The sequence below is a fragment of the Homo sapiens genome, chromosome 2 (assembly GCF_000001405.40).
Source record: "Homo sapiens chromosome 2, GRCh38.p14 Primary Assembly".
Classification (NCBI taxonomy): domain Eukaryota; kingdom Metazoa; phylum Chordata; class Mammalia; order Primates; family Hominidae; genus Homo; species Homo sapiens.
Window position 1 is genome coordinate 117,849,683 of NC_000002.12, and position 17,264 is coordinate 117,866,946.

Here is a 17,264-nt window from a genome sequence, read left to right on the forward strand (position 1 = left end):
CTTATAGCTATCATTCACTGACAAGCAATGCATGGGTAAGATATTTCTTTATGGCCCTCTATTGTCATCCTATTAATCTAGACATTAAACTTATAAGTATCATCTTGTCTTGATTTATTTTTCTAATCTATACTTTTCTCAATGATGTGTTTCCTAATTGACATTTCCAAATTACGAGCCTTGGGGTTCTTTTAATCATTTTGGTTTTTAAGCACTTTTTTATTTTGCTTCTCCGAAGTTAGTTAGAAATTGCAACTACTGGTTATTCCAGGGCTGATGGTTCAGTTACAGGCTCTGGGGCTAAATCCCCTGGTCCTGGCTACCCTGAACTTCACGCAGCTCTGAGTAGGGGAGTAAATTAGCCTGCAGGGGGAATGTGGGTAATTCTCGACCTCATTACAGCCCTCCTTTCCAATTTCGCCTTCCTACGAGCAGCTTAAAATGCAGAAGAGATCAGCTGAGACACACACTCTCCTCCACGTGCTCCCTCTCCCTCCCCACCTGATCCTGCTTCTATCCCCTCACCCCTCCTGATGAGGGAGGGAGGAGAGCACAACAGGTGGAAAGATGAGCCAGTGAGAATTTCAAACCCAGCGGAGTCCCCGCCCATGGGATGTGACCTGTTTGTACAGGATTCTTGCAGTTATTGGGTGGTCTTTATTATCATTGTTGACTCTGGGAAACTTTTCATTCTTGACCCAGAGTCTTCATTAGAGATCTTTTCATGAGAAAAAGGGCATTTTTAAGAGCTGAGGTTTGAATGCATGGAAATTTTTAAAAACTACCTTTGGTCATGTGAAAAGAAAGCAGCTGGCAGGTGGTGGGGGAAGGAGCCCATCTGCTAATTAAAACTCCAAGAGTAGTAGGAGGAACAACTACTCTAAGGCACTATCTTTCCCCACGTTCCTGCAAACAAATTAGCTTCAACACCCACACACAGTAGGAAAACAAATGCCAATTATGCCTCGATGTTTCCTTGAACCTGTTTTCTTTTCCCTGTCTCCAACTGATCCTTAACACTGCTTTGATAGTGGGCTGGAGATAAGCCCATTGCTTATCTGGAGAAATGATTTCCACCCACTTTTATTCTAAAGCAAATCCGCAGCACTGAGGAGGCTGGGACCAACATCAAGCCCAGATCCGTTTCCACACATAGAGCAAAACTCTTCATTTTGGTTGAGTACCAACAATAGTAGTTTATAACATAGGAAAGGAGTGTGCCTTTAATTATTGTATTTCAGTGTAAAACATAATCAGAGGTTAAAACAGTTTTATGAAGGCAGATAACATTATGGCATATATTAATGTATAGAGGATGCACATCCATTTATTTCCAACTGCAGATATAATGGGGTACCTGACTGGGACTAGATCAAATGATTTTGGCTTTATTCTTGGTTGCTTCCCAGTTTTGGCAAGTACGCAATTATGAATAAATATGCTACAAACAACGATGTGCAGGATTTTTTGTGTATATAACTTTATTTTCTCCATATGATTTTCTAAAATCCTGGTGGAGACAAGCAGTGGGTGAGGAAGAAAGATGGCTAAAGTTGCAGGCACTTTTTCAGTTTCTCTGGAGGCAGAGGTCTGAATTTCACCTGTGATGTCAAGCAATTTCTTTGTCTAAGCCTTTTGGTAATGCCAAAGTAAAGCAGCAATCCCTTCTGGAACAGAGAGGTTTAGGAGCAACAAGGAGGGAAACAGGGCTGCTTGGCCCCATAAAAGAGCATTTCCCTATATGTGGCAGGCTTCTCTGTTCATCACATTCCCTTTAGGGGAAAAAAATTTCTCTAAATGTGGATTTAGACTATCCCTAAAAAAATTTTGCTTGTTTCCCAGAGGGGTGTGTGTGTGTGCATGTGTGTTGGTGTGTGCACACCGACTTTCTTGTTCAGGAACTCACCCGTCTGTGTGGTTAGGAGCAGAATGAAGCTATGAAGGGAGCAGGAAGGATGAGGTGGCATGTCTTCATGACATGCTCTCTTTTTTAAACTTCACACCAGGTATCCTGGCAGATTTAATAACTCTGACCTCAGGAAAGTTCCCTCTTTTGGGGGTTTTGCACTGTTTAGGTGAGGAGAAGGACTAAGGCAAGGCCTTAGAAGGATCCTTTGTTTCTGATGGGAGTAGACATTCTGGGTACCAGATACCCTGGAGATGGGCTGGAATGTGAGGTCTGAGGAGTTGAGTCTCAAACTTGAAGGTGGAGAGAAATCCTCAAGGACCTTTGTGTTGAGATGTTTAACCCTTCCAATATTGGTCATTTGGAACAGCCATATCCAGTGTCTGGCGGTTTTCTCTGATTCCTTGTGAAAAACATTGATTATCACATAGAGCACTAAGGCAAGGGCTGTGCCAGTGCTGCAGACCTTTCTCTGGGAAACCACAGGAGGGAAACCTGGCAGGACTAACACTTCCTGGTTGAACGGGATGTTTAAGAGAGGAAATGCCTGCTAGAGACATCTGAATTATCTAGATCAATGGTTCTCAACTGGGTTGATTCTGCTCCCAGGAGATAACTGGTGGGGTCGGTGGTGGCTACTGGCATCCAGGGAGTAAAGAACAAAGAAGCTGCTAAACATCCTACCACATACTTGATAGCACCCACCCCACCCCCAACAAAGAATTATTCAGCCCAAAATCTCCATAGTGCTTAGGTTGAGAATCCCTGACTCAGGAGGAGTTAGTGAAAACATTTAGATGTTCATATGTAAATACAATAAAAGCTGAATCTCAAAAGTAGGAATAATGTTGATCTAAAAAGAAAAGTTTACCTGGCGAAAGACAACACAAGGGATATTTATTGAGAGTCTAATATGCGCCAAGTTTTATTCCGGTTTCTAGCAACCAACAAGACAACTTCTCATTCTCATAGAATTGATGTTCTGGTTGGGAGGGAAGACCTCTAAAATATCATATATATTTCAGATCATAATTACAATAAGAGCCCCCTTGTGAATTGTTTCATTTAGTCCTCCCAACAACCCTATGAGATTTGTGCTATTATAATCTCCATTTTAGAAGACACTGAGGCAGAGGTAAGTGGCTTGTCCAAGGTCCACAACAGATAGACTCCGTCTGGCTTCTTCAGAGCATTTAAAGTTCCTCTTATGGTCAACGGACTTTAGAGCTTAACTAGCTACATGATGTGGGGGGTATGACTTAATTTCTCTTGATTCTTCCTTCATGTGTGGCATGGAGGTAATAAAAGTATCTCATAAGATTGTGTAAAAACTGAGTATTTTGATTTATAGAGAGTGCTTAGAACAGTGTTTGGCATACAGTGAGAGCTTATAAGTTATATAAGAAAATGGAAAGTAGGTAGAGAATGACTGAGAATCCTACTTTACACCCGTGGTTCCCAAAGCATGGTCCCTGGATCAGCAGGACCAGCATCCCCTGGGTACTTGTTAGAAATGCAAATTCTTGGCCCCTAGCCCATGTAACAAGAAAAACCCAGAATCATACAGAAAAACCATCTCCCAAGCTGGGAGGAAGCACAGAGACCAAAAAGTGACTCAAACAAGTACAGCTTGGTGAGTAGATGAGTTTATTAGAGCTTGCATACAAGGCATTCTGGGGCAGCAGCAGGGCAGCTCTAGAGATGTGTGCCCTCTCCCATCTCTAAGCTGTTTTAAGCTAATTTTCTGGCTCTTTGCCTACTGTGTGTGTGTGTGATGGGACTGTTTTCCTTAGTAGGGTCTCAGATACTCCCTGGGATGTTTGAGTTATCAGGGACATCTGCTCCTCAGTGGGGCACCATGGCCTTGGCTCATCACCTCTAGGGTTCCGGCAGCAGACACATACCTTTAAGTAATCTGATGGGGGACTCATCACATTACAGCCCAGACATGACTCTGGGGTGGCCCCAGCAATCTGCTTTAACAAGCTTCCCAGGTGACTTTGATGTCAGCTGAAGTTTGAGAACCCGTGAATTAGGCCATTCTGAGGAGGTGATGTTTGGACTGTGATAAAGGAGTTTGTCTTGACCCTGCCCTAATGCCTTCCCTGACTACAAACCTTTAAAAAGAACCAAAACTCTGTATATGTCCTCCCTTCTCTTGTGCTATTTAATTCTACTTGGCTTTAGGCTTAGATAGCTTCTTCTCGGCTTCTAAGACCAGATGTCTTCCTTGATATCCTTAAACACCCTCAACTGTTCTCCATCCTCAGTAAGCTGGTTCTTGGTTCTCTTCATATCTTTCCTCATTCATTCATTCATGTGAGTTTATTAAGCCTAATCCAGGCCTTGGGTGAGGTGGAAGTGGGGTGCATGGCAGGGAAAGCTGAGAGACACTTGGTGCCCAGCCATATCCTCGGGGAGCCTGCCAGGGAAAGCTGAGAGACGCTTGGTGCCCAGCCATATCCTCGGGGAACCTGCCAGGGAAAGCTGAGAGACGCTTGGTGCCCAGCCATATCCTCGGGGAGCCTGCCATCTAGTAGAGAGGCAGAAGTGCATCCCTGTGTCAGCACTCGCTTCTGGGGCCAGTCACAGCAGGGGCACCAGCTAGGACTGGGACTGGGGCAGATGTAGGGATCAAGACCACCTTCTCGAAAGCGGTAATGCTTGATCTGAGACTCAATGAGCAAATAGAAATAAAAAAGCCCCGATAAAACAATATTAAAAATCATCTGGAAGAACACACAAGGGAAATAATATTGAAGAATGAATGTTTTTTAATAACAGCAAAAAAGGTAACTATGGGAGATACATGGAATTACTACAGGCAAGGAATCAGCTGAGTGAAAATGATAGAAATGTTCTACGTATACTTTCTTTAAAATCAAAAATTGACAAGCCTGAAGTGAATGAACAGCCATCTAGTCAACATTGGGTACTCACTGATTATTCTTATGGTTTTGTTTTGTTGTTGTTCTTTTGCCTCCAGGCATTTGCTCACCCTCCTCTCGCCAAGTATTCCTCCATCCTCTTCTCCCCACACTTGCTGGTGAAAATCTTCCTCATATTTAAGGTTCAGATCAAAAGCTGCCTCCCTCGGAGGACTTCTCTGATCCTCCTCATTGGAGGTGATTTCTATCCCCAGCAAGGCCAGAAACCCTTGTTGGTGCTGCTAATCAACTGTTAGCACATTTTGCTGCGTCGTGGTTATTCGGTAAGCAGATTTTATTCTGTGATAGATGAAAGAGCCTCTGAGATCAGGAAAGCATCACACCTATCTTTGTACGACCAAGATGTCTTGCCCTCAGTAATCAGTCCCTTCCCTAGATAAGATTATATACAACATGCAGGTAAGAGGGCCGAGCCACCACCTCCTGCTACATTCAACAACCACCACAGGGGGATCAAAGAATTACACTTTTAATCTAGTCATAAACTTTAATAACACAAATGGAGGACAGGAAAGTGATTTATGATTACTGAGTAAGTTGAAGATATTAATGGAGACAAGAATTAATGTGTTTTATTACATAAAAAATTTATTCGACAAAATGTAATAAACACGAAGAGTAATAGAGAAAAATTACGTGACAAAAAACTGATTAAAATATGCTCTCTAAATGCATTAAAGTTGATAAATATTCATAAAATCAACACCCATATTCCTTTATAGAGTAGTTTAAAGTGAATAAACAGCTTTTATGCAAGAATACATAGATAATAAACACCATATGGAAATATGCAGCAGTTTTAGCAATTAAAAATGCAAATCAAGCTGGACATGGTGGCTCATGCCTGTAATCCTAGCACTTCAGGAGGCTGAGGTAGATGGATCACCTGAGGTCAGGACTTTGAGACCAGCCTGGACAATGTGGCAAAACACCGTCTTTACTAAAAATAAAAACATCAGCCAGATGTGCTGGTGTGCGCCTGTAATCCTAGCTACTTGGGAGGCTGAGGCAGGAGAATCGCTTGAACCCAGGGGGCAGAGATTGCAGTGAGCCAAGATCTCGCCATTGCGCTCCAGCTTGGGCAATAAGAGTGAAACTCTGTCTCAAAAAAAAAAAAAAAAGCAAAAAGCAAATCAAAACAATTAAAATACATCATTATACACCAATTGAACATTGTTTTTAATGATAAAAAATTTGCTTTAGCAAGGCTGTTCGTTTCTTTCTTGTTTCTCCAAAGCCAGGGCTAAGAAAACTGACACCATTAAATTTTTCTGAGGTACAATTTGAAAATGCATAAAAAGAACGGTTACACCATTCCTATATTTTAACTCCATAATTAAATTTGGGAGAAAATGTATCAAGAAAATAAACCCAGGCAGAGCACCTGTAATCCCAGCACTTTGGGAGGACTAGGTAGGCGGATCACTTGAGGTCAGGAGTTTGAGAGCAGCCTGGACAACATGGTAAAACCCCATCTCCACTAAAAATACAAATATTAGCCCAACGTGGTGGTGCATGGCTGTAATCCCAGCTATTTGGGTGATTCAGGCAGGAGAATCACTTGAACCCAGGAAGTGGAGGTTGCAGTGAGCCAAGAAGACGCCACTGCACTCCAGCCTGGGTGACAGAGGGAGACTCCATCTCAGAAAAAAAAAAAAGAAAGAAAGAAAAGAGAAAAGAAACCCAAAAGAGAAAAAAAGTGCTAATTGTAATTTTTAAAAATCAGTAAACTGAATGCCTGTCATGTACTGTGCAGGGTTGAGATTTTACCCTACTTGCAAGCTCACAAGCCACCCTGTTACAATTTCATAGATGCTGGCAGAAGACATTAGACTCCTGAGTCAGAGAAAACAAACTTTAATACACTAGGCAAAAGCCATAGCCAGAGCTTCACCTTTGCTTGTGATAGCTCTCCATGTTTCCCAGTTCTCATGCGGGTGATAGAAAGGGCTCATGCTGAATTCCTGCCCAGTAGTGAGCAGAGTCACAGAGAGAAATGCTGAGCTTGGAATTCACCACTTTGACATTAAGTGGAAGCAAGCATGCCCCTTGCCCAGAGGAGAGGTTACTTCATCTTTTAAGGTTGCTTGCTACAAACACAACACTCAGGAATGGCCTAGGAAATGAGCAGTCAGGGCCTTGCATTCTTGGCACACACGAGGAGAAGGTTCAGGGGATGCTCAGGGCCTATGAACCACGTCTCCCAACAATGCCTCATTTATTTATTTAACTCATTCCAATGTATTGAGTCAACTACTATGTGCCCGGCACAGAATAAGATGCTAAGGATATTGCAGTGAACAAATTCCCTGCCCAAGAAGAGCTTATATTTTAGTGGGGGAAGGCATTTAGATAATGGAAAGGGAATTAAATAATAATATGATGTCACTTCTGTGAAGAGCTATGAAAAGAGAGTGGTAGGATAGAGGGGTGGGAAATGGGGGTCAGATAGTGGAGTCCCAGCTATCAGTCTCAAAGCAAGTGTCTTGGTCTGCTCAGACTGCTATAACAAACACCTTAGACTGGCTGCCTTAGACAACAGAAATTTATTTCTTACAGTTTAAGGGGCTGGGAAGTCCAAGATCAAGTTACCAGCAGATTCATTTCCTAGTGGGTACCCTCTTCCTGGCTTGTGGGCAGAATCCTTTTCACTGTGTCTTCATATGTTAAGGAGAGACAGAGTGAGGTCTCTGGTGCCTCTTATAAGGACACTAATTCTATCAAACCAGGGTATTACCTCTTTGTAGGCCCTCTCTCCCCATACAGGCACACTGAGAGTTAGGGCTTAAATATATGAATTTGGGGCAACACAATTATGTCCATAGCAGAAAGTCAACAAATCTCTCTTCATTTCTTCTTCTGCAAATGAGAATGATGCCTAAAATGACTGTGGGTAAGATCAACTGAAATAAAGTGGTGAAAGTGTTTTGTTGTTACAAATATTTTAGAGAATATACCTATCTAAAAACATAATCTACCTCAAAGATCAGAAGATAACTGAATCTAAGGTTTAGACTAGAAGTTAGAAAGAGCAGGAACAGTCATTATTTATTGAACACTTACTCCTGTGCTACTGGCTCTAACTCTAGTTTTATAATGATCTCATGACAAGTATAATTATCCCCACTTTTAAGATAAGGAAAATGTGTCTCAGAAAGCCTAAGTTGCTCAGAGTCTCCCAGCTGATAAATGGTACCCTATAACAAGTGGAACTATGAAGACAATATATAATAACATGAAAAGTGCTAACAGAAATCTGTAAATAAAAAATTGATTTTACCTATAGAAAATGTACGTGGAGGTGGGTGCGGTGGCTCACGCCTGTAATTCCAACTCTTTGGGAGGCCGAGGCAGGCAGATCACGAGGTCAGGAGATCGAGACCATCCTGGCGAACACTGTGAAACCCCGTCTCTACTAAAAATACAAAAAATCAGCCGGGCGTGGTGGCAGGTGCCTGTAGTCCCAGCTAATCAGGAGGCTGAGGCAGGAGAATGGCGTGACCCCGGCAGGTGGAGCTTGCAGTGAGCTGAGATCGCGCCACTGCACTCCAGCCTGGGTGACAGAGCGAGACTCCATCTCAAAAAAAAAAAAAATGTATGTGGATAGGGACAAAAGATGAGAGTAAAAGCATGTGATGCATCTGGCTAGTGCAATATGAATGTTTTAACATTTCTAATATTCTTTGCTCTTATAATGTTTTCAATAAAATGGAGAGATATTGTAAAAATATTTCAAAGGCTAGTCTTCCTTTTCTTCTAACAAATTCTCTTCATCAGGTCAATTTTCTCAAAATCTTCTCAATTCCAGCTTTCTCCATGTTGGAAACTGAAAGGACAGGGCTGGGTGGAGAGTGCGCGTATGTGGGGGGTGAGGACATGATAGGGGAGGTTAGAGCTGGCGAAGATGATGGTATAAAGGGTTCCTCTTCCAGATCTCTGCCAGATTGCTCAGAAGCCGCGTTCTTTCCTCATAGAGCCAGGGAGTGAATTTCTCAAGGCGTCACCAAGCCCTCGCCGGGCAGCCGTGCTGGAAGCAAAGCGGCGGCAGGATGGGGCTGGGCTTAGGAGCTTTCTGTTTTATATACCCCAATACCTGGGTTTCCCATTTCGGGTATAGGTAGAATCGAGATTACAGGAAACCCGAAGCCCCCTGGCCGGGGCAGAGCGGGACCCTTGTTTCCCAGTGTCAAACCGTGCCACCAGCAGGTCCGAGGGGTCCGCAGAGGTGGTGGCAAGGGACTTTCTCCCCATTGTAAACCTTTCCCGGAGACCACCTCAGTTAGGGTTGTCTCTGCTTGGCACAGTCAGGGAGACCAGCGGGGACAGTGTTGAAGGCCTGGCTCCTGTTGGTGGGCTCTCCAGCTACCCCGGGTTGTCTCTGCTTGGCACAGTCAGGGAGACCAGCGGGGACAGTGTTGAAGGCCTGGCTCCTGTTGGTGGGCTCTCCAGCTGCCCCTTGCTCCCGCCCACCCCCGCCCACTGCAGGTGCAGCTCGTCTCCCGACGCCGCTGGGTGGGGGAGGGGCAACTCTCCAAGCACAACCCGCGCTCTGTCCCTCGGCCGCGCTGATTCCCAACCCCCTGGCGGCCGGTGGCACCCGGGACCGCTAAGAGAGGTGGTAGGAGGGACTGGCGAGCCGAGCGGAGCTAGACTGAGGGGTCCTGCTCTCTCTTACTCATTCTCCTGGAAAAGAGGATCTACGGGGGCTGCAGGCATACGTGCCAAAGGTGGGCTGCTGCCCGCAGGAGGGATCAGGATAGGACGACCTGGACCCCTCTTCCAGCCTCCCCCGGCAGGCAGTACCCCCTCCACGCCCGCACCTGCCCGGTCCACGCCGAACTCACTGAGGACTCGTGTGCCCCCTGCCCTGGAGCTGCGATCCCAAGCGCCATGGAGGCCGCTAGCCTTTCAGTGGCCACCGCCGGCGTTGCCCTTGCCCTGGGACCCGAGACCAGCAGCAGGACCCGGGACCCCAAGCCCGAGAGGGATACTCGGTTCGACCCCGAGCGGCGCCGTCCTGCCGGGCCGAGGGCCGCCCTTCTCTGTCTTCACGGTCCTGGTGGTGACGCTGCTAGTGCTGCTGATCGCTGCCACTTTCCTGTGGAACCTGCTGGTTCCGGTCACCATCCCGCGGGTCCGTGCCTTCCACCGCGTGCCGCATAACTTGGTGGCCTCGACGGCCGTCTCGGACGAACTAGTGGCAGCGCTGGCGATGCCACCGAGCCTGGCGAGTGAGCTGTCGACCGGGCGACGTCGGCTGCTGGGCCGGAGCCTGTGCCACGTGTGGATCTCCTTCGACGCCGGAGCCTGTGCCACGTGTGGATCTCCTTCCACGGCTGTGCTGCCCCGCCGGCCTCGGGAACGTGGCGGCCATCGCCCTGGGCCGCGACGGGGCCATCACACGGCACCTGCAGCACACGCTGCGCACCCGCAGCCGCGCCTCGTTGCTCATGATCGCGCTCGCCCGGGTGCCGTCGGCGCTCATCGCCCTCGCGCCGCTGCTCTTTGGCCGGGGCGAGGTGTGCGACGCTCGGCTCCAGCGCTGCCAGGTGAGCCGGGAACCCTCCTATGCCGCCTTCTCCACCCGCGGCGCCTTCCACCTGCCGCTTGGCGTGGTGCCGTTTGTCTACCGGAAGATCTACGAGGCGGCCAAGTTTCGTTTCGGCCGCCGCCGGAGAGCTGTGCTGCCGTTGCCGGCCACCATGCAGGTGAGGGGTGGGCTGAGGAACGTTGCTATGGGGAAGCGGTTGCTAGAGAAGGAGGCAGCTTCGCGAATGGGAGAGTGGGCGGAAGCTTGTACTAATGGAGCGCGCGCCCAGAGATCACCTGGGGCGCACGAGGACAAGTTTGCCATCAGTTCTTCTGAAGCGGGCACCGAGGGGCTTGTCACCGGCTCACCTGGCACGCAAGTGAGGGGTTCGCCAGCTGCGTACTTGGTGCGCGCAGAGGAAAGGGTTTCACAATCTGCACGTTAGGGAGGCAGATCTGACACCGACCCACGACGCACGATATGGCCGGAGGGGCTTGTAGGTTCAGCCCGTCTCAGTAGCGATGAGGGCACATCTTGTTACCTGCACTATCTGTTGTTTTCCCCCTCAAGGGCCCCTGTCCATGTGAGTCCTGGAGCCGCCGGCTTCCTTGTCCCAACTAGACCTAGAGGGGATGCAGTGGACTGGGAATTCGTCTTTCAGAAATTCCTGTGACCAATCACGCCTTATTTTCTGTCTCCACCGTACCCCAGTCTATCCTCTGCAGTTCAGAGACTATTCCCCAACTCCATTAGCCAGCACCCTGCCAAGGGGAATAGTGAGGATTTTAAAATATAATAATTGGTGTCACTTTGCTTTCCTTATCTCAACCCCGGAGCTATCCTCTAGTGATTTAGGAAAGAGAACCATGGATTCAAATCCCAGCTTGGGACATTAGGACAGTTGCTTAATATCTGTGGGTCTCATTTCTTCATCTTTAAACATGTTCATTCGTAATTGATAGGGCTCTTGGTGAGGATTACGTGAGATGAAGAATGTAAAGCACCTGGCATAGTGGCTGGCACACACTGGGTGGCAGACTGGCTGGAGAAAGAAGGGGTTCAACAGGATATTGCCTGGCAGTCCATAAGGAGGAGGAAGATAATGCTGGAAATGTAATGAGATGAGCAAAATTGCAGTCGGCAGATCTTCTCTCACCGTATTTATTATTCTGTCTGAAGCTTTCTGCCTTTTGGCCAGGATCTAATAGGTGCTCAGCATCCTTCTCACTCTGGAAGCCTCAACTTTCTCTTTTGAGGGTATCAGGTGTTTCAAGTAACATGCTCCCGGTCCTATAGATTAACAGGATTTATTGCCCTTTGCAAATACAATACATGGGTGAGGGAAGAGGTGCATATGAGAGCAAAAAGAGACAAGGAAAGTTTTTTGTTGCTAGTTTTGTTTTAATTTTGGAAAATTAACTCAGATACTTAGAATACAGGACAAATACATGTGATTTTTAAAGTAGGCCTTTTTTCTTCTACATTAAATGGCAGAGGAATTTTGCAGCATAAAATAGGAATGTCAAGACTATAACTGGAAGTGTTGGTGAGGGAGAGTTTTATTCAGAATTAATGATGTTCTTTGAAAGGTCCCTTGGAAATGCCTGGGGTGATTATAGCTTTTCTGTCTGATTGCCGAGCTAGGGCTGACTTTTAATAGCTACGTCAATCCAATGCGCACTTAGAGAAATCACGGTGAAATGGATGCCGGAAAACCTTGCCAAGCCTGATTTTAGTGTTCATTTTTGACAGTTCCCATTCAGGCAGGTGACACAGGGAAGAGGTGCCTGGATGAGAGGCTGGCCAATCTGGAGTGTCCATTGGTGGATAGAGAGAGCTCTGAGAGGAAGAGGAACTGTTAAAAATTTAGCCACTCCCGGCAGGAGGACCTGGGGCAAGCCCTTCCCCACTTTGGGCCTCAACTTCTCTAACATACAGTATTCTTCTAAGTCATGTCTAAGGGCCTTGAATCACAGGATGCTGAGATTGTAGATGGGGTAGTGTTCAGGAGCATGCTGCTTCTATGGGTCACAGCAAGCCCTCACTCAAACTTCTGGGTAATGTTCCTGAGTCCACGTTTGCAAGCCTTCTGGAAACAAGACATCTAAACAAAAGTGTAAAACACCGCGCCAGGAATACTTCCTCTCTACTTTCCCCCACCTGCATCATTCTACTCTCCAGGCGAAATGAGTTGTATTGTGTTTAGGCTCTGCAAAGTGTCTGTACTGTTTTCTGCAGGGAACAGGAGCCTATGTGAAGCCTGAAGGCCTCTGTTGATGAGGCTGTGTAAGACCTTCATCTTTTTCAGAATTCCGTGTCTAGGTCCCAACACTAACATATTATAAGACAGGGGTCTTATCAGAATGTAGTTTTTGGGCAATGATTAATCCTTTGGGGCAAAATGCAGTTTTTCAAAGTTGAGAAGGGAAAAAAATGTTTATTGAGTGAATTGTCTCTTCCAGACACATTTCTGATGCTTTACATTCACCCTTTCATTTCATTCTCACAATTCAGTAAAGTTGGCATTAAGTCTCTATTAGTCAGGATAAGCTAAGGCATGCTGTGGTAACATGTAACCCCAAACCAGAAGTTTATTTCACTCTGACTTAAAGTTCAATGTGGGTCTGCATACCTGCACAGCTCTCTTCCAGGCAGTCTCTCATGATTTTGGGCCATTTATCATTTTTAGCTATGCTGCCTTGCACATGTGCCTTCCAGATTTATTGTGGGAGAAGAGCTATGTATGGAGATATGCCAGCTTTTTACTGCCTTACCCTGAACTGGAAGCATGTCATCACTATTTGCAGCCCATTGGCCAGCCATTGGCAGTGAATTGGAAGGGAGCATGTAGCTATCTGGTGAGCACTGTCTTTGCCATAAGGCCCTCATTTTACAGATGAGAAAACTGCAAGAGAAAACTATGGTAAGGCACCACAAACCTAGTTCATCCAAAACCACGCAGTTCCTGGGTAGAGAGTCTGAAGGTTGTACCAGATCTAAGAATCACTATTTTTGGCCAGGTGCGGTGGCTCATGCCTGTAATCCCAGCACTTTGAGAGGCGGAGGCAGGCGGATCACGAGGTCAAGAAATCGAGACCATCCTGGCCAACATGGTGAAACCCCATCTCTACTAAAAATACAAAAATTAGCTGGGTGTGGTGGCACATGCCTGTAGTCCCAGCTACTCTGGAGGCTGAGGCAGGAGAATTGCTTGAACCCAGGAGGTGGAGGTTACGGTGATGCGAGATCGTGCCACTGCATTCCAGCCTGATGACAGAGCGAGACTCCGACTCAAAAAAGAAAAAAGAAATCACTGTTTTCATTACTCCATGCCATCTCCAGGGACTTGACTTCTGAGGCCTGCCCCTCTGCTCATGGGTGTCTCTGCTTGAGAGGAATGAGGCAGTCACAGCCCAGTCAAGGTGGGTCCCACGAAGCAGGATCTCAAAACTACTCAGGTGAACTCTCCTTTTCAGGAGAGCTGAACACAATTGAGCACAAAAGCCTTGCCTGCTTCCCTCAGGGGACAGGTTTAATTCCTGCCCTGGTGTCTTTTCTTTCAACATCTTAAACTGAGACTCTGAGCATCCCATGTACACTATAATCTGCTCCCCACCCCAAAGCAAGCCCCATGGGTTACGATTACTTCCTACTGCCCTGTGCCCTTCACTGTTTAGAAAAGAAGAAACATTATTTCTTTGGCTTTTAAAATGTGACATTAAAAGGGTTTTTTTTTTTTTTCCTATCTCTCTCTCTTTTCTTTGCTATTGCTTGTTTGATTTCTGTGTGCAATTTGATGCTGGGACCTAGTTATCCATCAGGCGTAGTAGTCATACTACTTAGAACCAGAATTCTTTTAGGGACCCATAGAAATATTTTAATTTTAATTTCTTTTAAAATTAGAGGAAAAATGAATATAACACTAATGAATATATTATAATGAATCCAGTCTTGCTTATACTTGCTTATACTAATGTTTAACATAATTTTCAGTATTTCTTAATGAAGGAAGGGATACATTAAGGCAAAGATGTCTAGGGACCACACAAATTATAATGAAGCCTTGGTTAATATCTTGCCCTCATTCTTTTTTTTAATCGTACTATTGCTTTCTTTTTAAAATTTTTAAATATATTTTTTAATAGCTTTGGGGCTACAAGTGGTTTTTGTTTACATGGATGAATTATATAGTGGTTAATTCTGAGACTTTAGTGCAATTGTCACCAGACTAGTGTCCCCTTCTAAGTCTCCAAAGTCCATTATATCACTCTGTGTGCCTTCCCATATATTCATAGCTTAGCTCCCACTTATAAGTGAGAACACATGGTATTTGGTTTTCCATTCCTGAGTTACTTCTCTCAGAATAATGGCCTCTAGCTTCATCCAAGTTGCTGCCAAAGACATTATTTTATTCCTTCTTATGGCCAAGTAGTATTCCATTATGTATATATACCACATTTTCTTTATCTACTCATTCGTCAATGGGCACTTAGGTTGGTTCCAAATCTTGGCAATTGTGAATTGGGTTCTTGCACTCATTCTTAATAAATATATATTGGGAGATAATGTACACAGTGGTTAAGAACATGGGACTTGGAAACAAAGAAACGTGGGTTTCAATTTTTTTGACTGCCACTTATTAGCACTTCAGCCAAGTGACTTAATCTACATCTGCAATTCTGCATATGTAAAATGGAAATATTACCACGTGTCTTTTAATATTCTTGTGAAGAGCAAATGAAATTCTATCATATGTGGAGTCCCTTAAGTAGTAAACCATAAATAATAGCTACCGCATTACTTTTGTTATTTTTCTATTTCTCTTTAATAAGAAAAGTATTATTTTATTTCTCTTATTGCTATTCCTCATAATCATAGGTAGATTATTTATTGCTTGTGTAGAAAATTATCCCACAGTTTAGTGGCTTAAAAGAACAAACATGTATTAATTCACAGTTTCTGTGGGTTGGGCATTCAGAATGGCTTAGCTGGGTGGTTCTGACTTGACATCTCTTTTGGCTGTAGGCAAGATGTTGCATGGGGCTGCAGTCATTCAAAAGCTTGACTGAGGCTGGAAACTTTGCTTCCAAGATGGAGCACTCACATGCCTGTTGACAAGAGGCTTCAGATCCTTGAGAAAAGGACATCTCCAAAGGGCTGCTTGGGTGGTACCACATGATAGCTGACTTTCCCCAGAGCAAGCCGTCCAAGAGAGTGAAGCAAGGAGGAAATTGCAGTGCCTTTTATGACTTAGTCTCAGAAGTCACATATGATTATTTTCTATTCATTAGCAGTGAGTCACTAAGTCCAGCTCACACTCAAGAAAAGAGGAATTAGGCTTCATCTTCGGGAGAAGTATTTCCCAAAACATATTGAATGTAGTGTTCAAAATTACTCGATTGACTTACTGATCTTATGTACCAGGCAATGTCCTCTGAGGTTTCAAAGAATGAATAAGCACTTTCCTGCTCCCAGTGGATTTTTAGTAGATTATAATTATAGAATTATAAATGCAATAAAGTCTTATAAGTGCTCTGCTAGAAATCTGTCCAAAGTACAATGGTATCTGAAAGATTTAATAGTGTATGGGAAAGCACTATGTAAACTGTGAAGGGCAAAGTAAATGTGAGGTATTGAGCTTTAGGGTTTATGGCAACTTGGAACATAGATTTTAGATTATGCTGTATTACAAAAATTTGACTTTCTAAGCCAGTCCTCTTTGTTGACGTTTTGTTTGAACAATGACACACTGCCATAAAGGTTATGTGCAGTAGGCCCCAAGTGACCCAAAATCTGTACAGAGCCATTTATGTTTATATATTTATTTTAAATTGACAAATAATAATTGTATATACTTATGGGATACAATCTAATTTTTAAAAATTTTGTATTTTTAATTTTTGTGGGTATACAGTAGATTTATATTTTTATAGGGCACATGAGATATTTTGATACAGGCATGCAATGTATAATAATCACATCAAGGTAAATGGGCTATCCATCACTTCAAACATTTATCCTTTTTTATGTTACAAACAATCCAGGCCAGGTGTGGTGGCTCACGCCTGTAATCCCAGCACTTTGGGAGGCCGAGGTGGCCGGATCACGAGGTCAAGAGATTGAGACCATCCTGGTCAACATGGTAAAACCCCATCTCTACTAAAAATACAAAAATTAGCTGGGTGTGGTGATGGGCGCCTATAGTTCCAGCTACTTGGGAGGCTGAGGCAGGATAATTGCTTGAACCTGGGAAGGCAGAGGTTGCAGTGAGCTGAGATTGTGCCACTGCACTCCAGCCTGGCAACAGAGTGAGACTCTGTCTCAAAAAAAAAAATACAATTATACTATTTTAGTTATTTTTAAATGTACAATAAATTATGTTTGACTATATTCACCCTATTGTACTATCAAATACTAGATCATATTCATTCTATCTAACTGTATTTTTGTACCCATGAACCCTTCCCTCTTACCCCCTCCCACTACCCTTCCTAGCTTCTGGTAACTATCATTCAACTCTCTATCTCCATGAGTTCAACTGTTTAAATTTTTAGCTCCCACAAATAAGTGAGAACATGTGAAGTGTGTCTTTCTGTGCCTGGTTTATTTCACTTAACATAATGACTTCCTGTCCCATCCATGCTGTTATGATGGGATATCATTGTTTATATGTATGTACCACATTTTCTTTATCCTTCATCTATGAATGGCCACTTAGGTTGTTTCCAAATCTTGGCTATTGTGACTAGCACTGCAGTAAACATGGGAGTGCAGATATCTCTTCTATATACTGATTTCCTCTCTTTTAGATACACAGCTGGCAGTGAGATTGCTGAGTGATATGGCAGCTCTATTTTTAGTGTTTTGAAGACCCTTCAAA

At 44.5% G+C, this 17,264-nt stretch overlaps 1 pseudogene, besides 1 other annotated feature; it reads left to right on the forward strand.

The window, feature by feature from the left end:
• Positions 8,538-9,490: an enhancer, noted in NCBI's record as "H3K4me1 hESC enhancer chr2:118615796-118616748 (GRCh37/hg19 assembly coordinates)". NCBI's record gives its function as "activates a minimal SCP1, AML or CMV promoter by ChIP-STARR-seq in primed H9 embryonic stem cells {active_cell/tissue: H9 hESC(primed)}" and the evidence as "EXISTENCE:reporter gene assay evidence [ECO:0000049][PMID:30033119]".
• Positions 9,745-17,264, forward strand: part of HTR5BP (5-hydroxytryptamine receptor 5B, pseudogene) — a 44,254-nt pseudogene continuing 36,734 nt past the window's right edge.